Source organism: Homo sapiens, chromosome 18, assembly GCF_000001405.40.
Source record: "Homo sapiens chromosome 18, GRCh38.p14 Primary Assembly".
Classification (NCBI taxonomy): Eukaryota; Metazoa; Chordata; class Mammalia; order Primates; family Hominidae; genus Homo; species Homo sapiens.
Genome location: NC_000018.10, coordinates 32,331,626 through 32,353,545, shown reverse-complemented (window position 1 = coordinate 32,353,545; position 21,920 = coordinate 32,331,626). Strand labels below are relative to the sequence as shown.

The 21,920-nt window shown below is 40.5% G+C and overlaps 1 protein-coding gene across 6 annotated transcripts in view, besides 1 other annotated feature; it reads left to right on the top strand.

The window, feature by feature from the left end:
- GAREM1 (GRB2 associated regulator of MAPK1 subtype 1) overlaps nucleotides 1-21,920 on the top strand; it is a 207,361-nt gene that overhangs the window by 117,337 nt on the left and 68,104 nt on the right. Inside the window, exon 1 of one of the 6 annotated variants that reach the window (XM_047437740.1) lies at nucleotides 1-21,920. This exon is cut by the window's left edge and continues 10,358 nt beyond it. The exons of the other annotated variants lie outside the window; for them this stretch is intronic. The gene's annotated coding sequence lies outside the window, so the exon portion shown is untranslated. 6 annotated transcript variants of the gene reach the window in all.
- Nucleotides 21,153-21,653: an enhancer, noted in NCBI's record as "H3K27ac hESC enhancer chr18:29911856-29912356 (GRCh37/hg19 assembly coordinates)". NCBI's record gives its function as "activates a minimal SCP1, AML or CMV promoter by ChIP-STARR-seq in naive H9 embryonic stem cells {active_cell/tissue: H9 hESC(naive)}" and the evidence as "EXISTENCE:reporter gene assay evidence [ECO:0000049][PMID:30033119]".

The window sequence follows — 21,920 nt, the reverse complement described above, 5'->3', positions numbered from 1 at the left end:
TTATAGTTAAAGCAAGAAATTCAATACTTTAGGCCAGTTACTTGAGGACTTATAAAAGTGTGACAAATTATTTTAACCCTTATAGTTGGGCTAAGGTTAAAAGCTGGCTGTACATTAACAAAATAGCTATTAGGTAAGTAAACAGTGGTCTGAGAGGCCAGCTAGACATTGAGTAGCTGCCTTGTTCAGATGGAAGTATTGTTGCTAAGAAATAAAAGTAGGATCGAGAACTTGGAGGCCATACTACTGTGTCCCCTATGCTCAGAAAACACATGGCCCACAATATGCCCTCAAAAGATATTTGTTGAAAAATATGTTTCTGACTTTGTTATCGTCTGATTAGAACTTTTGTACATTTCTTTATGTGTGGACATTTAAAAATATTAATGTAACAAAAATGGACTAAGGTCAGTGATAAAAGATATAGGTTCTCATTCTAAATAGAAAATCACATAACTTACTTATCTGTTAACGTCTGACTTATCTAAAAATTCAGTCTGCTAACCATGTAATCAGGGTATGGAAATTTGTAATTGAAAGATTGTATGAGTTGGCCTCTCATTAATAAAAAATTGACTCCTTTGTTGTTTATATTTTATGTCTGTTGTGTTATCTGTTTATGCCACTTCCATATTAGTACTAGTTCTAGAAGGGAGGCATTGAGAACTCCTCTGTCCCATGGCCACAGCTGGGGAGTTTCCTCTTCTACAGACTCTGAATCAGCCCAGAATTCTCTCCCCTCTAGCCCCATCCTCCTTAAACCCTTCTTCCATGGAGATTCTTTCCTTCTCTCATAATCACAGGTGTGGTCTTCACAGGTGTGATCACAGGTGTTCCCAGCTGTGATCTTCTTAATCTGGTCCTGAGGAAAGAAAAGGTAAATCAGAGAAATGAGGGAAAAGTCCTCACTGGCCTACCCTAAACCCCCTGTCCCCTCTTTCTGTTCCACTTTATCTCAATTCATTACCCTCATCCACCTCCTCCCAAGTTCCCGTTTCATTTGTCATCCCCAAGCCCTTGGCTCTGTCCCTCACCTCCCAAAACTGTGGCCCTCTTATAGGCTACTCTCCATCCCCTCTCATGGCATCCACACCCCACAAATCCCCAGGAGTGACTGTGAAAAGATTCTGAGCTTACAATGAAAGGAACAGGATTCCCTGCTCAGGCCAGCGAGGCAGGATGCTCTTGCCGCCCCAGGTGTCGCTGGCCACGGGATGCATTTTCCCCAGTGTTCTGAGTTACTCCTGGCCTTGTCTTAGTACTGTGTTTTAAATCCAGTTTTGTGGGCTGATCTGACAACTTAACCTCAAATTTTATTCTTGTTTCCCTGGGAAAATATTAAAATTTTGCAGAACTGACTAATAAATGAACTTTTGGAATACCATATGTTTGTAAATGGGTGGCTGCCTGTTTTCTGATAATGGTGTATCCTGTAGTGGCTCAGAATGCCTTTGTTTGGGTTTGGAGGTGAAGAGAAAGAAAGGATGTTTGGTTTGTTTTAACACTGAGAATTTTTGGCTCTAAAAGTACTTTGTAATCATTTTAATTTTTATTATTCTTTCATTTAAATTGGGACATTTGTACCAAAAATGTCTTTCAGATTCATGTAATTCCTTATATCTATCAACAGTTGTGTACCTATGCTGAAGAAAAAATTACTTTACACAGGCATTTCTCTATGGCATGGAAACTAATAATTCTTTTCAAAGAATATGCTGAGAATTTGAAAGTAGGGTAGCCGGTCAGGCCTAAACCTTGGTATCAAGTCATGCTGTGTAAAAGATGGCTTTTCACATAATTGTTTTAGTGATGTGTTCTGTCTGTGTAAGTAAAAAAAAAAAAAAGAGAGAGGGTATTGCTTGAGAGATATTTACTTTTCCATTTTTCTGTATATTTTTTAGAATATTTATTAACCAGGTTATCAGGACACTGTGTGTGTAGCATCATCCTAGAAGTAATTATCCACATACTTCTCTTGGTTAAACTTAACTACATGAAGTGTGTCCTCAGGAACTTAGCTGAACTGTGTGAAACCCATTCAGTTCACACAGGCCCTTGAATGTGCACTTTAAAGCTTTTCATGGAAAATGTCTGAACCTTTATTAATATATTGTTTATATCTGAATTAAGTTAGGGCCAAGAACTGTAATTATTTTTCTCCTGCTTGCATCAATAGTTTTACATAGGCCTTCTCTGCTGATAAATTTGAGTCAGATTAATGAGTAATAAATCTAAAGATAACCTTTTAAAACCATTGGAGAGCCAAGAAAGTGAACATATAATTATGATTTAAAAGGATATGTGACTAAGGCACTCAGATGTGTTTCATCTGGTGCCTGGGTGTTCATTTCTAGTTTTAACGCAATTGAATGAAAATTACTTCCTAATTCCATCAAAATAGCATCATTGGCTACTTTAGACTTTTTAGAGTTGATGTTAGGAAATACACCAGTACACCATACAAAATTAGAAATTGAGGAATCAGAAGGACCAGAAGTTCAACCAAAGGACTAAGAAATAGTAAGTTCCTAGAAAAATTCAAGTCAACTTTTTCTACATAACATTTTGCCAGTATTTGTACTCTTCCTAATTAAAAATGGGCATACCATTTAAAAACATACTGTATTTATCAAAAGTAGGAATTTGTCTAATAAATTGAAATTTTGTTTAAACATCATGCTTTACATTCCTGATATGCCATAAAACTTAATGGTGGACCAGAAATGTAAAAGCTTGACCAGTTGGGTTTCATGTATACTTTGAAACCAGAAGGCCATCACTTGGTTGTTTGTTTCTACAGTAGAAATGAAAACAATTTATTGTTTGCTAAATAATGGACACACTTTAAGAATTTTAAAGTGATTCGTAACCTTCAAGAGTTTACTTGGCATGTACAGCTGTTTTTAAAATTGCATTGAAATGCTGTTTTCAAATATCCTAGAGAGAAGGGGTCTTGTTTTTAGTCTGAAGCAATATCAGATCACATATATAGTCAGAAATATCATAAGTTTGAGTAGAAATGTTTATCCTTCCTTCTACCTAACTTAAATGCCTTTGGATCTCTATTTAATGTGTTGAGAGACCCTGACTCTATTTTTAAAGAAATTGAGGCAAGAGTATACTAATATTAGCCAAAAATCCTTCAGTTGGATACATTAAATAATTTTAAGAAACCAACAAAAAATCTAATCAGTGCATTGTAATAGTAGTTGTATTAAGGTTGAACTGTTAGAGGTGATTTATTTCTTATTTTCCAAACTATAAAGTGGTTATATTACTTTCATAAATAGACTTTTAAAAACATGTCTCCATGTGTATATATATTTAGAGAGGAGAGAGCCTCTGAATGACTCATTCTGGAAAAAAAGGGGGGCAGTTTTCAACTTTTCAAATAGCTTTCTTTTCTCTTCTTCCCATTTCTTCACTGAAAATTGCCAGTTACTGTATATAAAAAGTGTTCCTTTTCTTTTAACCATTTCTGCTTCCTGCCAAGGTGTAAATCAGAAAGCCCAAGTTTCTTTCTCCCACTTCATAAACAAGACTTCGTTCTGCTTCAGACACTTGGAGCCCTGCCAGAGTTGTCATGATGATGTCAGTTTACCAAGAATGTTCACATTTCTCATGCTGTGTTCCACATTCCCTGGACTCGAGCAAATGTCCTTTTAGAGCTCACTGAAGTTTCAGGATTGGATTTAAAAAGCATGCCTTGTTTTCAGTACTTGCCCTTCATGTGCTACCTTTTCAGAATCAGGGATCCATTTTTAACAGCTTGACAGTTTACAAGCCCACACGATACATTTTGTATTTGTCGATTAAATACAGAATGACCAAAAGTTTATCAGTTGGTGAAACCAGTCAGATTTGCTAGTTTAACAAATTGGAATTTTATTAATAGTATTCTCTCATTTAGCAAGTATTTATTTTATATCTATATTTATAATTTATGATGTTTCATTGATTTTTTAAATTTCCTTTTCACAAATAACAATGACATCTACCTATTTTGGGGGAAGTAATACCTCTGTGTAGGAGATGGAACTTATCAGATGAATTCTGATACCTTGTATTATTTCTTGATTCTTGGCTAGCTGATTGGAAACCACTATGATATACATCATTGTATCTAATTATTTAATAAATGATTTGAGCCTGTAAGCCATAAATATTAGAAAATCCAGACGGTTTTTGAAACTTATTTAGAGAGATGGCTATGATTGAAGGGAGTAGTTGAACTTTGTGTATACCTTGTCCTGGTAAATTTAATGGACATCTCATTTATACAGAAGTTCAGAGGGCCATGAAGAGTTCAGTCCTTCTAACATTTAAAATGTGTTGAAGCCCAATTTTATGGATTTTTGTAGAACAAAGGTTTAAAATAAAACCTGTTCTATTTTATATCTGCTGCATTTGATCTAGTTATCCCATGTAATTCAATACTGTGCAGAATTTTATTTCTGAAATGATCCTTGAAAATCATATAGTCTGACTATAATTTTACAGGTAAGTCTTGGATAACTGAATGATTCTGGATAGTTTTAACTACATGTTCAGAAAATTGGACTAAATAAGATAAATTCTGTGAAATATATTAGTCCTCAGAATTCTTTGTAAATGCCCAACAAATATGGATGTGTTTATATGGATTTATTATAGTAGTTGCACATTGATGACCTAATTAACCTAAGAAACAAAATATCAGTACATAATTATTTATATTATAAACATATTTGATTTTTTAATATCCTCTCAACTTGAGTTGGCAAATTACATCTTTACAAGGAAAGAAAGGGGGAATTTTCTTGATTTATTTATTTATTTAGAGATGGAGTCTCATTCACTCAGTCACTCAGGCTGGAGTGCAGTGGCACGATCTTGCTCACTGAAACGTCTGCCTCCCAGGTTCAAACGATTCTCCTGCCTCAGCCTCCTCAGTAGCTGGAATTACAAGCACGCACCACCACGCCCAGCTAATTTTCGTATTTTTAGTAGAGATGGCGTTTCACCATGTTGGCCAGGCTGGTCTCGAACTCCTGGCCTCAAGTGATCTGCCCACTTCAGCCTCCCAAAGTGCTGGGATTACAGGTGTGAGCCACCACGCCCAGCCTTGACTTAATTTTAAAGTGGGCTTTGTTTGACTTTCTAGGCTGATGTTGAATATTGCCTACTTTTCATTTCTCTTATAATAATAATGTGAGCTACAGTTTTCTTTTAATCACCAAGTTTTGATTCACTCAAAATAATAGAACTTGAGATGGGTGCCAGCCAAAACACTAAGTATTGTTAATCATAGGCAAAACCCTGGTCCTCTGTCCTTTGTTCTCATTGAGTGGCGTAATGACTTGCTGAATTCCAATTCATAAACTCAAATCATTGTGAATTTTATGTTTAATCCTCCTAGCATTGCTCTATGGCAAATGTATCCTTTTGATAATTTTTAGAGCATTCCCTTGCGGCTTTTTATAGAAGTTTCAAAACAAGTTTAAACTAGGCAAATTAAAATCTAGTTTGAATACAGAGATTTTTAAATCTCTATTTTAAGAAATAATTGCAGATTCCAAAAGTAGTTTTCAAATTAGCAAGGAGGCCTCAACCAGTGTTTCATTCCCATTTTTGAACTCTTCATCACATTCTCTAGAATTTCAAGAGTGAATTTCCAGCGAGAAAAGGACCTGACACACGAGTGAAATGGTTACCTGGCATGAAAGGATATACAAGATGGTCTACTAAGCCACAGTTGTACTGTTTTTGATATTACCATTGTCTCTATATGGATAAGAACTGTCTTATAAACTCTGATATACTATTTGTCCCACTTTTATGCATTGTATAAAATAAGTAAATGTTTTGTTAATTGACATTGCTTTAGTCTTTCTGTAGTTTTGAGTTTAAGTTGTTGTGTGCATCTTAAGGCATTTCTCCAAGAAATATTTCCTAATTGACCCAGTTTGCTTTAGGAAAGTTCCCTCAGTTCGCCTTTGAAAAGACTGTTTTTCTAAATTTAGTGCTATTTAAGATTTCTTTTCTCTCCTTATTTTCCAATATGAACTCCAGTTTCTTCCTTTGTTCCCAAGCAGCCAACTAGAGTATTAGAGGGTCCTCCCTCAACCAGGACATGAGATTTATTTCCTTTGCTGCAGAGCAGTGCTTTCCATAGACTAGAGGTGCACTTAGTTTTCTTTTGTTTTTATTTATAATTTTTATTATTATTATTTTGAGACACGGTCTCACTTTGTTGCCCAGGCTGGTCTCGAACTCCTGGCTCAAGTGATCCTTTCACTTCAGGCTTCCAGAGTGATGGGATTACAGACATGAGCGCCATGCCAGGCCTTGTTTTTATAATGGTATTGTTACTAAGACTTTAATCTTTTATTCTCTCAAGTATTTCTTTTTTATCCTTAACTATCTTAAAAGTCACTTCCTTTTTTGTTGTATGCACACAGCTAGCATTTGAGGACACAGTGTATGCATATTTCCATAAATTAAAGGCCCCAAACCTGGCTGTCTTGGGGAAAGTTTATATTCAGACTTCTCCAAATTCTGTTTCCAAACAGAAATGTAGTGTGAACAAAGCAGAGACTGAAGAGTGAATTGCACTGAGTTGGTGCCGACACAGCGTCTCCTCTCTCCTCTTCAGCCCTGGTGACCGGCCTCTTTCCCTTTTGTAGGAAGTTCTTTTCAGATCAGTAGCTGTCTGCAAGGCCTGTTCTCCCCTGCAGTTCAACTCTACTTTGTAAACATTCTTTCAACGTTAGGTTTGTGTTTTGGAACCTTATTAAAAGTTTTTGAATCAGATTCTCTCTTAAGTTCTCCAAAATCCAGTGATTCTGCACTGCTTCCCTTTCAATGTCTGACACAACTAGGAGTAGTAATTCAGTTGTTTTTCTGATTCCCATAACATTAATGCATAAAAACATAAGCAGAACAGTAAACCATTTGTTCTCCTACCCTGAAGGAGAGCCCAAATCCTTTGGTTGTATTGGAATTTTATTTTCTATGTGGTGTGAAACAAACCAATCATCGAACCCATGCTTGGTCACCTTTTTAAAATAACAGTTTACCTATAATAATATCTATTGCTTTATAAGAGGATTCACTTTATATTGATGAAACATTTGCTAAACACTTAAGGAAATTCCCATAAAATGATGGTCCAATTGTAATGGTAGTTTATATTGGTCAATAATTTTATTTTATGTGAGAGTATCTTGAAATATTTGTATTTATTACATTTAAAATTATAAATTTGCTTGATTTTTGCCTTTTTCAGTTATGTTTATAATGAAGCAATATGTTGATGTTGATCTTGTCAACTTTTGATAAACATGGCAATTTACATGGGAAATGTATTCTATCTTAAATAACCAGACATGTGAAGAGACAAGATAAAATGATTATTTTATAAAAAATAAAGCAACAGGCAATAAAAACAGACCACAAAGGAGCCAAATTATGAAGTTTTCAGACACATGTTGTAAAGTAACTATACGTGATATATTCAAGTAGTTAAGACTGAGTTTAGTGGAGAACTTGAAACTGAAAAAAAAAGAAATTCTAGACCTTAGCTCGTCTTTTTATTCTTAATTGTCTTAAAATTCACCTTACGATAGTTAATGATAAAAAGTTAAAACCAGCCCAAAGTGTGATATAAAATAAACTTAATATCACCTTAATAGAAAGCATATTTACTGTTTAGACCGTCAAGATGATTAACTGCTGCACCATCAGTAATCTGCTTTTGACCAGCTGGACCCTTTTTCTGACCACCCATTTCAACAGTGCCATTATCACCCAGTTCTCAGATCCAGGTCAAGTTGCCCCAATGTCGCTTTCATCAGCTTAGCGATGTGAATCCCAGCCAGAAATTCATCAGTTGCTTTTCATTCTAAGAGTCAAATAAGCATTTGCTTGTTTGGGCAGATTTGACCAGAAACTGGCATTTTCTTTGCTTATTGCCAACTTAACCAAATTATCATTGCCTTATCAAGGTTGTAGAGAGAGGACTTCTTTAAAGTTTTCCTATTTTTTTACTCTACTTGAAGAACTTGGTGCAGGTTCAAATGGAATTAATTTGATCTTTATCTAATTTATATCATAAGGTTTTGTTCTCGTAGTTTATCATTGAATGATGTTTCTGTCAATTAAAATTTTTTGCCAAATTTTAGTTTGGGTTTAGATTTCAAAAATGTAATTATATTTCAAAAATGAAATATGATTGGAGAAGACTCCCTGTGCTATATTGGTAATACTGGTTTCCTAACAGTGGTCTTTCTAGTACATAGATATGTCACTAGTTTGTAGTTGTTTTAACCATTTCATGAATGAAATCTTTATGATTAGTCTATCCTTTGGAGAATTGAGAGCTAACTGTACTATGCCTGTATTTGATTTGCTCATACATTTTACTTGTCTGATTTACTTATAGACTGCAGACTGTTTTTTGTTGTTGTTGTTGTTTGGTTTTTGGTTTTTGTTTTTGTTTTTTTCGAGACTGAGTCTTGCTCTTTCGCCCAGGCTGGAGTGCCGTGGCACAATCTCGGCTTACTGCAACCTCCGCCTCCCTGGTTCAAGCAATTCTCCTCCCTCAGCTTCCTGAGTAGCTGGGATTACAGGCATGCGCCACCATGCCTGGCTAATTTTTTTGTATTTTTAGTAGAGACAGGGTTTCACCATATTGGCCAGGCTGGTCTCAAACTCCTGACCTTGTGTTCTGCCCGCCTTGGCCTCCTGAAGTGCTGGGATTATAGGCGTGAGCCACCGTGCCCGGCCTACAGACTGTTTTATTGGAGACTATTCATCAGCTTTCTGACCTGACACTTCATTATTACAAATTTTATATAAATACATACATATGTTTTATCATTCGACAGTGTTTATTTTGAAAATTGTTTTTTGTACCAGAAATCTTTAGTTAATTTTTTTACCCATATAATTTAATTTCCAAAATATTATTCAGGTAATTAGGCATTTCTAGATAGAGTAAACTGCTATATACTCAGCATAGTGAGCAGTTACTTTTTTCCCATTTAGCGTGATTAGGCATAATTACTGATAATTTCTGTTGATAATCTGTTTTGTACCTTATGAATCCAAACATTAATGCAACATGTTGAGCTTCTTTACATGTCCCAGTTGTCCACATTGGCTCTTAGCAGAAGGTTGATGTATATTGCCAGTACTAAGAAGGATAAAGTTACTGGTCAGCATTGCCCCAATTTTGAGAAACTTTGAAAGCTCCTGAGTTTTGGGGAAGAGGTCAGTGGTTCAGGACCAGATTTCAACAGGAATGCAGCCTATTTACACTAAGTCTAGTTGAGTATCTGGGTCCAAAAAGAGATCAATTCCTAAAGAAACAGCCTACAGTTGGGGACTGGGAGTGAGGAGGCGGGGAGGAAGGCAGCGCAGTTCTGTGACTGTAATGCAGAGGTGTTATTAATACCACTTGCCAAGGTGGGCATTTCCAAGACTTCCTTCAAGATGAGATGGGAGGAGACCAGAATAGGATACACACAAGCCCCTGGAGATCTGAGCCTTGGCAAAAACAAAGCGAGGAATGACCTGAAGATGCCAGGAGGGAGTGTGCCTAGGAGGGAGTCAGAGAGGCTTGTGGGGGAAAGGAGCAGCCTGTCTGTATTCAGGTGTGGGGCAGCAGAGCTGGGAGTGGGGGGTGCCTGTGGATATCCTGGACAGCTGTTCTCCCAGGCTGCCAGGAGCGGGTGGCTTACTGACACTCAGATGTCCATTCTGACTGCTCACATGGATCTAGACAGTGCCAGATGGCAACAGTATTTCCTATGAAGTTGCCGTAAGTGCATGTTAGGCAAATGGTAAAATGTTATACTAAGATATTAATATTTCATAATCTGGAATATATGAGATTGATAATATGAAGTACACATTTTGTTTCATTTTCTTTGAACTAGCTTGGTTTAAAAGTACTCTTGTTGTGGCCAGGCACAGTGGCTTATGCCTGTAATTCCAGCACTTTGGGAGGCTGAGGTGGACAGATCACTCGAGGCTAGGAGTTCAAGACCGGTCTGGCCAACACGGTGAAACTCAGTCTCTACCACAGATACAAAATTGGCGGGTGCCTGTAATCTCAGCTACTCTGGAGGCTGAGGCAGGAGAATCACTTGAACCCAGGAGGTATAGGTTGCAGTGAGCTGAGATCGCGCCACTGCACCCCAACCTGGGCTACAGAGCAAGACTCTGTCTCAAAAAAAAAAAAAAAAAAAAACAGTGGGGGAGAGTACTCTTTTAGCTTTTCGGAATTACTTGAAGATTCTCAGTGACGGTGCTTTTTCTCCACCCGCTTTCCAGTTTGTATCATTTTTTGCCAACTCTGGCATTTTCTACGTAGTGTACTTTCTGTAACTAAATTTGTTTTTTACGTTTATGGCTGTGTAGCAGAAAATTCAACAGTAATTGTTTAAAGTTTGGTTTGAGCAATTTGGGAAGATAGCAGTTCCTAAAACAAGTTAGCAATGTTCTTACCATTTGGGATGAATATCAGAGATACAGGGAGACTGACTGTCAGACATGTTGTCTTCAAGGCTCTTAGCAAATACTCTGATGTGAGCTCAGGTTATTTCATCTATAAACTGGTGATAGTATCTGCCAAATTGTTTAGTACAAAAGAAGCATAGATAGTACATAGATGGGGCAAAGGAAACTGTGGCTAGAGTGGGTCGGTGGGCATGGTACCATAAAAGTAGACCTCTACCTGTCTTTGCTGCAAAGTCTTCTGAGCTTTTATTCATGCAGCACCCCCTTCATTTATTCAACAGACATTTGGATGTGTATAGTATTCAATTATTTATTCTTCCTTTCAATTTGTATGTATAAGGGGTTGGGGATTCCAAACAAAGAGTGTCCTCAAGAAGCTTCTGTTTGTTAGAGAGACAATCAGACAATTTTGCTGGAGCAGTTGGTACAGCAGAGTAAGGATGTGGAGTCCACTGTGAGCTGAGGTGTGTAGGAAGCATAGAGGACAAGAGGAGGGAAGGTGTCCCAGACACAGGAGAGAGCGCTGCCTTTCTTAGCTATCCCATATGTCTCAGCCTCAGGGAAAAAAGTCACAGGACGGGTTGGTGGGATCATGCAAGGTTGTGTGTGCCATACCAAAAGGGTGGTAAGCAGAGCCCTGCAAAAGTTTAGGCTGGGAATGACATGATCAAGTGAGTGTCCAGCAGCAGCGTGGAGGATGAGACTAGCCTGGAGGAGGGCGGGTCATTTCAAAGGATGCTGAGATAACCCAGGAGAGTTATTGATGGTAAATGTGCTGTAGGGCTCTGACTCTCTTTAGCTTCGAGACCTCAAGCAAGATGCTTAACCTCTGCGCCTCATTTTTCTTCATGTGTAAAGTGAAGATAATAATAGTACCAACTTCAAAAAAAGGTTATGGAGTGGTTAGAAGTGATGATTATGCAATGCCTGGTATGTAGCAGGCTTTAAGTAAATAGCAATAATTATTATAATGCCAGGTCTCAAAGGTCATTCAAACCCAACTTATTCAAAATAAACCTTTTTTTTTCTTTTTTGGTGGCCTGCAATATCAGTGTTCTCCACCTCACTTTGTCATCCTCCCAGACGTACCTCATCACCAGCAACCTCAGCATGATCCTTGACAGGACCCTCTCCCTCCTGTTGTATGGGCTTTATCACCCATCGCCGATGATTTTATCCTCTATGTAAATCTGGAATCCATTCACTTCTCTCCAGTTCTGCCATTACAACTGTCTTAGCCCAGAGGATTACATTCTGCCCTTAAATGGTTGCTGGGTATCTCCTCTCCATTCCACCTCTCCCCGCTCCACCCCATTCTCCACTTGGGAACCAGAGTGTGACGATCTTCCAAAAACAGAAATTAATTACATTGCTGCCATATTAAAGAAAGAAACTCCAGTGATTTCCCATTGCTTTAAAGAAAAATATCAACATTTATCTTACACTGTTGGTGGGACTGTAAACTAGTTCAACCATTGTGGAAGATAGTGTGATGATTCCTCAAGGATCTAGAACTAGAAATACCATTTGACCCAGACATCTCATTACTGGGTATATACCCAGAGGATTATAAATCATGCTGCTGTAAAGACACATGCACATGTATGTTTATTGTGACACTATTCACAATAGCAAAGACTTGAAACTAACCCAGATGTCCATCAATGATAGACTGGCTTAAGAAAATGTGGCACATATACACCGTGGAATACTATGCAGCCAGAAAAAAGGATGAGTTCATGTCCTTTGTAGGGACATGGATGAAGCTGGAAACCATCATTCTCAGCAAACTATCGCAAGGATGGAAAACCAAACACTGCATGCTCTCACTCACAGGTGGGAATTGAACAATGAGAACACTTGGACACAGGGTGGGGAACATCACACACCGGGGCCTGTCATGGGGTAAGGGGAGGAGGGAGGGATAGCATTAGCAGATATACCTAATGTAAATGACAAGTTAATGGGTGCAGCACACCAACATGGCACATGTATACATATGTAACAAACCTGCACATTGTGCACATGTACCCTAGAACTTAAAGTATCAAAAAAAAAATAATCCAATACACATCAATTCTTTTTCATCCAGTTGTTTTATATATTTAAGCACAGAGAAACCCAAGCAAGGGCATGTAACACACTTTACGTCAGTCTTCAGGGGGTGAGATTGGAGGTGGGGCCAGTTGGTGGCTCTGAGCTGGGCTCTAGGACTAGACTCCTTGGGATATCTAGTTCTCACTTTCTAACTTTATGGCCCTGGGCTTTTACTTTGCACTTCCCTATGGATAATAACAGCATGAAAACACTTAGGAAGTACCTAGCATCCAGTAAATACTATATAAATGGTATGCTGCTATTACTTCTTTTCCTATTGTTGAGTTGTTGCAGTAAACATACTTTACTTTTACAGCCCCTTAAAAATTTTAAGAGAAAATTTTAAAGGAAGAGAGATGGAAGAGTCCAAGGAAGTCTCAGTGAAATCTCATTGTTGCCTGCAAGTCTCTGTGATAGTCCCCTGCCTATTCTGCAGCTTCATCATGTGCTGCTTTTCTTCCCCTTTCTTTCTGGACCCGAGTCATGCCAGTCTTCTCTCAATTCCTGCAGCCTGACCTCTGCTCATCTTTCAGGTCTCAGGTCAAAGTTACTTCCCTGGGAAGCTTTGACCTGGGTCTCTTAGACAAAGTCTGATTCCCATAATCTCACAGCACTTTTTCTCTAGAGCGTGGATCCTAGTTATAATTACATACTTCTTTGAGTGATTGTTTAATAACTGACACCCATCACTTGTCAAGAATCTCTAAGAGGCCATGACTGTCCACTTTGCTCATCATTATAGCCCTCAGGGCCTAGCACAGCAGTTTGCCTAAATAAGTAGGAAAAGGGCATCCCACAGAACTGGGAGTAAGGCCAGGTTTGGAGTAGAGAACATAAGCTCCATGAGGACATGCAAGAAGTGCCACTGGAGAACAGGGGAACTGCTGTGTTCTGAAGGAAGGATTTTGAATTGTGTCCAGGTATTTTAGGAGCTAGTGAGAGATTTTAGCCAAGGCCATGATTATAGGATTAGATAGCATTTTAGAGTGGTCACTCCAGCACCAGTGTGGTGGATGGGTGGAATACAGGGTCAGAACTTATACAACAGGGATGGAGCAGCTGGAACAGCTTCAGGAAACATTCGGATGGAAGGACTAATGGTACTATGTGTGGAGTGGATGTGAAGAGATGCCATGATGATAAAGATGACTTCCGCGTTCCCGGTTTATATTACTTTCTGGATTTTGACTTTCATTTGGGAAGTTAAGGAACAGAGAGTGAAGATCAGATTTAGAGAGAATACTACGAAATTAGATTTGTATATGTTAAACACCTGCAAGGCATCGTAGAGGAATTGTCCAGTGGAGGCAGGCATAAGGTGGTCTGGGCTAGGAAGAGATTTAGAAGACACAGGTCTGCACAAAGTGGATGCTGTAGGTGTGAATGAGGTGGTCCAGACAGCAGTCCTTCCCATAGGTCCAGCCCAAACCCATCTTCTGTAAAGAAAATTTCAGTCTATAAGGATTCCACATTTTCTGCCTGCAAGTGCTTTTTTATATTCAGAAGTTTTTCTTAGAGGCCAGCAGGGAAGCTGTAATATACAGAAATATCTGCCCTCAGACATTTCCCTGCATAGTAGGACAGTGTTTTCACATAGTCGTTCTGCAAGAATCATGGTAGGTGTGCTTCTTCCAGGCACTTATCAGTGGGCGGTGGACCTGGCATTCATATCAGCAAGGGAAGTGGAAGCAAAGGTCAATATGAAATAAATATTCATGGTTTCATGTTAAAAACAAATTAAGAAGGGTGAAACCAGTATATCAGTCATACTTCTCCAGAGAAACAGAACCAGTTGGCAGCAGAGTTGGAGGATAGGGGGTGGTATTTATAGATAGAGGGAGGGAGATTTACTTTAAGGAATTGGTTCACACAGTTATAGAGGTACAAGTCCAAAGTGCTGGATAGAGACCTAGCAGGCTGGAGACCTGGTAAAGAGCTGCAGTTTGGGACCAAGGGCAGTCTCCTGGCAGGATTCCTCCTTTTTTTCTTTTTTAAGGCCTTCAGCTGGTTGGATGAGCCCCTCGCACATTATAGAGGGAGTCTGCTTTACTCAAAGTCTACTGATGTAAAATGTTAATCCTGTCCAAAAATAGAACTTCACAGAGACATCTAGAATAGTGTTTGACCAGATATCTGTATACCGTGATCAAACCAAGTTGACACAACATTAACCATCACACTCAGTAAGCTGCCCTGTCTGCTCCAGGAAAGCTCTGCAATGCTGCAGGTCTAGAAAAGATGGCCTCCATGTGAGGTTCAGGCTTTAGTCTGATTATCTCGAGCTTAAATGTCAAGTGTCCAAAACATCCAAAATTTCAAGACCTTAAAGAACCAAAGGCCATTGCTTGTTAAGGAGCTTTGCTGTTGCTTTAAGGGTGTTTAATGCATCATGGTTTTTTCATTTTGTCTCACAGTTTGTATTACAAAACTAAAAACTCATACACTCAACACACAGAAAATAAGCATTTCATGGTTCTTTTCCATTTTACAGATGAGGAAACGGGTTGAGCCAGTGTTAGGTTCCATGCCAAATTGAGGACCATTAAGTGGCTAGTTTGAACCTAGGTCTTCTCACTGTAAATTGAGCCCTTCCTGTCCCTCCCTGCCATGCCCCCAAACACCTTATTTCTAAAAGAGAAGGAAGGGAGAGAGAAAAACAGAGACAGACTATGGGAATGAATATTTACAGAACTCCTACTTGAATTCACGGTAGGGGAAATAAAAATAAATTTACCAGATTATATGCCTAACTTGATCCCTCTGGGGTTGTAGGTATTTCAAGCTACTTGGAAATTAGAGGAATTTAAGTTTGCAGTCCATTCCTTCCTCCGTCTGCATTTTTTGTATTTGTGGATGAGTAAGTATTGAAACTCTGAAGAAACCACCTCTTTCACTCACTCAGGTCACCTCCTCGCTGCCCCATGCCTTTGAGAGGGTGTTTTCACAGTCATTGAGTCTGTCGGGTTTGGGTCTTGTGGTATGCCTCCTTCCAGTTTGTTTGGTTAGTTAGCGAATGTGTTTTGCATTCAACCAAGGAAGTTCAAAATACTGTCTCTGAGAGAGCCGGTTAAGGTAGAAATGCTGTCCAAGTTACGAGTGGCAGACTGGCTGAGTTCTCCGGGCGATGATTGAGAAAACCACCCACTAATTTTAGGCTGGAAGAGCTTGCAGCACAAATTGAGTTTTGAGTAGAAAACAAGGTCTTACTGAGATATCCTATAGCCATTGGAAACACCTTCTGGCTCCTTAGCTCTTGGCCACTGTGAAAGTTCGTATCACTTACTCATTGTCATATCAAATGTGGTAAAGATCTTAGTTTTGAATATTCTGCATTCTGCCTAAGATCATTTAGATCTCAAAGGTAATGGCAGCAGAGCTTGTCCTTCTTTCCTATGACTAATGCAGATGGGAAGCCGTAAGCCTCAGGCAGCAGTCTCACTTTTAAGTGGATAAGCCGGGTAATAGCGCACAGAATTACCGAGTTATCAGTTTCAAGCTTGTGGGCCATATACTAAATCGTAGTGTCCTAAAATGTGTATTCACTCACCCCACTTACGTACATATTGTAACTTTTCAAAGAATTGTCCTGGCTTCATCAGATAGTTTCATCTGCTTTGTTTTGCCAGGATGACGTTTAAGTGTGTGGCCAAAGCTCCAATTGGTCTTTCACAAGAAAATTGCATATGGCTCTGTTAGTCCCAATTCTGGCACCATTTCAAACCTTCTGGAGCCATAACCAGGCCATTAAAAAGTAAATATTTTCCAGGAATTGATTTCCCAATGTATTTGTGCCTTGAATATACAGGTGCCCATGTCTAATTCTGTATGGTTTTGAATATCTCCCTAGAGTCTCTCATTGGGTTTTCACAACAAATCTGCAGTTGGTAGAAGAGCTGATGTTATAAAATAAGCAAAAACAGAGGAATGGCATTTACTTAAGGACCCCTAGACTGTATAGTTTTAGCAGTCACCATTTTCTGTCACCTACTTTGAGCCAGGAATTGTGCTGTTTTACAGACAGCCACTAATATTATTTAATCCTCGTAACAACCTGTGAAGTCAGGAAGGTAAGTTTCAGGGTAGTTTTAAGTTTTCAAGTAGTTTTAGTTTTACCGAAGGGCTGGTAAGTGGAGCCCATCTGGTCTAAGGCCCATGCTTGTTCCGATTCAAGCTGCACTTCATTTCAGGTTGATACTGTTAAGTTCAGTGGCTGTTTATGATCCATATTTAACTTTTCATCCATCAGAGTGTTTGAGTGGGGAATAAATAGGTCAGAACTGATGTAGATTTAACTTTTGTTGGTGCCCAGCCTCGCTATATGCAGACTTCAATAATTGTATAAATCCCTGTATTTACATTTTTATGACAATTGAGATGTTTCAATCCAGAAGAAAGTACAGCATGAGGGAATTAAGATGTTTAAATTTGGTAAGTACTTATAGAGCACCAGTATTTGCTGGGCACTGTGATTGCTGCTTTCATATATACTGTATGATTTTTTTTTTTTTTTTTTTTTGAGACGGAGTCTCGCTCTGTTGCCCAGGCTGGAGTGCAGTGGCGCGATCTTCGCTCACTGCAAGCTCCACCTCCCGGGTTCACGCCATTCTCCTGCCTCAGCATCCCGAGTAGCTGGGACCACAGGCACCCACCACCACGGCCGGCTAATTTTTTGTATTTTTAGTAGAGATAGGGTTTCACCGTTTTAGCCAGGATGGTCTCGATCTCCTGACCTCATGATCCGCCCGTCTCGGCCTCCCAAAGTGCTAGGATTACAGGTGTGAGCCACCGTGCCCGGCCTACTGTATGGTTTTTATAACATCCCGGCAGGCCTTAATTATTGTTTGTTTACAGATAACGAAACCGATCCTCAAAAAAGAATACATTACTTGGGGAAGGGCACACAGCTAATAATAAATAGAGCTGGACACAAACTAGCGTCTTTGAACCTCATGCCCATTACTCTTTCTGGTAGTGTCAGCGTTCGCTGCTTACAGTGCACTCCGTTGCTCCCATGGTCACTCTGCTCTTCCACAGCCCACCATCAGCCCAACCCATTGCTTGCCATTTGCATCCCTCACTTGTGAACTTCAGATCAATTAAGCATCAACCCAGAAAGCATTTCCTGAATTGCAACTAGAATTGTCTACAGGAAATCATGCATCTAAAGAAGGTATTATATTATGCAGTCATTAGCATCTTGTTTAGAAACCTGTGCTTTTCAGAATTAATTTCACAGAAAGCAGTGGAGTTATCTATCAAGCATTTCTGAGAAATAAATACAAGAGATGGATACATGTAGTTCAAATCAGGACAACTCATTAAATCTGCAGTGGGTATTGAAGGAGTCCTGAGGTAATTGAACATAGTAATTGCATTGCTCTGTCCAAAGGGTTTCACTGACACCTGTTTTGTTTGTGTTTTGCTGGAGCCCATAATTGCAGAAATATTCTCCCATGGTGATTAGCTCCCAGTTCAAAATGGACTGTTTCATTAAAGGTAACTCCATAATGAGACCAGTAAGGACCCAAGCTGTGTCCTTTAACGAGAGTAATTCCCTCTTCACTTGCAGCTTGACCATGTGCACACAGAACCGTGTGAGTCAAAGCCTCCAACTTAAGGCCTGTTTGAACTGCAAGAAAAGAGGAGGGTGAATTACATTGCCTTTAAGGTCTGTTCCAGCGTTAGCATTCTATGATTCTTTGGAATATTCGCCAAATAGAAGTTCAAAAATTGATTCAGCTTTCACACTGAGAGAGAAGAATGCCCACAATTGAATAAAAGATTAGAGGCTGTAGAGAGGAAATCGTTGCCTTGAGTGAGTTCTTTTATTGGAAATCAGCCTTGGACTACTGGACAGGAAATTAAGTTCTTGCCTGGGTCATTAATCATTGTGCCGATTTGAAAATTGGCAGTGGGGGAAGGTGGCTATATTTGAGGAGGAAGGAAGGAGTGGGCGGAAAGAGCGGTCCTCAAAGCTCCCAGTCTGAGTGGGCATTCGCCAGCAAAGAGAGGGTAGTATCAGCCACCTCCTTCTGGCAGAGGTGTCTAGATATTTTTGTCAACTCTCCTGAGGGTGCCCACATATCTCGTACCCAAACCTGTTTCCCACTTCTACCAAGAAGAGGGAAATGGAATCATGGGATTTTCACTGGGTAAGGGCAGAGAAGTGATCTATCGGAGGTTGTATTTCTGTGTTTAGCTCAAGAGAGGTAGACAAAATTAGGATATCCTTAATTTTTGTCAAAGTTAACATTGACAAGAAACCTTTAAAACCAGCAAAAACACAGGGAATAGGTTATGCCGTGTCAGGACTGCCTGTGCCCCTCAAAAGTACACCATCTTTTACTATCTCCTGTTCCTCCGCTTCCATGTGGAACCCCACTCGGGGGAAATATCTTTTGCTGCATAAAGCCGGAGCCTCCCTCTGCATCTGTTCCTTGGACTAGAAAAATATTAAGACCCTCCTGGCTTTCGCTTGTCCATCCTCCCCCCACTCCCTGTGACTGTTTAAGAGTATTTGCACTTTCCTATTTTTCCTGTAAGGTGAGAAGTTTTGGTAAATAAAAACTTGGCAGCAGGTTTTATTTCCACAAAAATAACAATCTTGACATCTCGGGGTGTCGTGTGTTTTAAAGCTGTTGCCGGTAGAATCTAAATATACCTCTGGGCTTTCTCGTCGCACATCCGAACTGCCTGGAAAATGTGCCCCCCTCGGGGTGTGATTAAGTCTTCTATAAAGCTCTCTCTTCTCCTATAGATTTTTCTGATGGGAAAGTGGCTAAGTTAGATTGGGAATTGAAGTATCTGGCTGGGTTACAGTTTGTGTGGGTTTCTGCTCTTTCTCTCTCTCGGGACACCAGCTTCTTTCCGACTGCAATGTCACAATGTTCCTAACTGCTCAGTGCACAATATGGTCTCAGCATCCCTGACAGATCCTGCCCTGAATCATCCTCCGGAGCCATCTAGGGGCTGGCCTGTGTGGTTGTGGCTTTCCTGCTTAGGTGGAACAAATAGACTTCTCTCTTCACTCTGCGGACCGCACACCGGCCTGTGTAGCGACCTGAGTCTTGACTCCATGCTGGACACAGCTGCTCCTGCTCCCATTGTTGACACCAATGATAAGCACCTAGAGGTTATTTCCAAAACTGAGGAGGAAAAAAAATACCAAATGCAATCAGGTTGAGCGTCATTGTCAGCCCAGGAAGAGCATTCAGAGCAGCTAATGTTGTAGAGGATGAGATCTATTGCCATGGAGCCACCTCTTCACAGGAAATCACACAGCCTTGCAGCATTGGAGGCTCCTTTGAATTAAAAAGAGTGGGTGAGGTTTCCACTTTATTGGAGTTTGTATACTGGCTCAGGAAGTTATACAAACTACTCAAGAACTCCTGTAGTTCTGACTTGGAATACTGGATTGCAGCAGTGCCTACAAGGGGCCTCAATCTTCTCTTTTGGCACTTGCCCTTGAAACTTGGCTTCTGACATAACAGCTTCTCACCATCAGACCCATGGTCTTTCCCTTGTCTGCTCCTTGGCCCTCTGTAGCCCCAGACACTAGTGAGAACTCTCCTTGGGACTCCTCTTCCCACTCTCCCTAACATTCCATTCTCCCAGCTTTCTGTCTGCTGTTCATTTTCTCTTTTTTTGGTCCATCCACTATGTTGACGTGAAGATTCAGTGCCTGTTCCCCCTCCCCCTCTCCACTCCCCTTCCTTGTCTCTCTTCCACCTCCTCCTCCTCCTCTATCCCTCTTCTTCCCTCCTCTTAATGTCTCTCTCTTTCTTTTCCCTCTCATCATCTCCACAGAAAACCTAACCCTCCTGGCTTCCCTGTCATCTCCTGTAGGTCTCACTATTTAATCAACTCCCATTCCAAAGTTCAGCAGCCTACTGAATACATTTCTACTTTTTTATTTTATCATCATCTCAGCCTCAGCTTCTCTAAAGAAAAAAAAAAAATTCTCCCCTAACGGCACCCTCCTCTCCTCTCCTGTGTCTATTTTTGTCATTGTCATTTCAATCCATGTCCTAGGCCACTATATTGGCCACTGATACTCTCTCTCTGTCATGCCATCGTTTTCAGGAAAGAGTCCACACAGGCTTCTGGGGCACAGACAGGAGGGACCAGCTTTAAGAGCTTAGAAACAACAGGTTCCATCTCTGAAGCCTCAAGTGCCAAGCACTGCACTGAACTCTTCTCTAGGTTTACTACGTTTAATCCCGACAGTGTCCCGTCAGATGGTGTGGTAGGAGACACAGCAGGGACAGTGTGGTGGGCTTGGTGATAGGCAGGGAGGCTGAAGGAGAGTGGGACTCAGCTACTGAAGTGCTGAGAGCAGAGGACTGATAGGATTGAACTGCTGCCTCCACAGCCCTCCTTGTCCAGCTGCCACGCTGCACTTACAGTTCCTCAGGTAGAAGGAAGGCCACACCAGTGCCAAATGCCCCTACCAATGACAGCTTCTGCATGCCACCCTTCCGTAGCACTTAACTGCTGTGTCAATTAAATCTTAGCTGCAAAACTGGTTGTAGAAAGTGTATATCTCCAACCCCCCCATGTGAGCATGGGGGCTGGGCTGCGTCTCTGGTGTGTTACATGGCGTGCCTCTGTGCAGTAAACACCGCATCCACTGAGCGAATGAACACCAGCATTCAGGACCTCAGACCCAAGCTGCTCAGAGCACAATGCGCTCTTCCCGGCCCCGCCATTACTCTCTTAAAACCTGGTAGGCAAAGACTACACTAAGCCATGTATTTCTCACTCCTCTGAGCAGAGCCAAAACTGTATCCCAAAGGAAGGCACACCAGAAAGTCTTAGCACTCCAAAAAGGGAGGATAAAAGAGGAAGAGGACGCAAGTCCCCAACCACAAATGCCCCAAGTGAGTTGCCTCTGTCAAGCATCCTAGATGATACTCTCTTCACCCTTCCTGTACGAAAGGACACAGTCAGTTCTGTGATGTCTACAAGGGAGGAGGGAAAAGACCAATGCCTTTTCCCGTCCCCTGGGTCACCAGCCCTGTCAGTCTGTCCCTGCCGTGCGTCCTTCCCACCCATGGCTCTGCCTGCGCCCAGATGTTGTCACCACTCGCAGTGTTTCTCTCCTCACTCTTTCCCCTTCACCTTCTTTTAATGACCCAAAGCCCAACCCACCCCCAGACCTCTCTCATATCCCAGTTTCTTCTCTGTTCTAACAATACAATTGTGACCTGTCCCTCCTCTTATTATTTAGGCCAGGAGTTCTCAAAGGGGAACCTTGTCACCTGGGAACTTGTTATAGATGCGTTCTTGATCCCCATCCGACACCTTCTGAATCAGACACG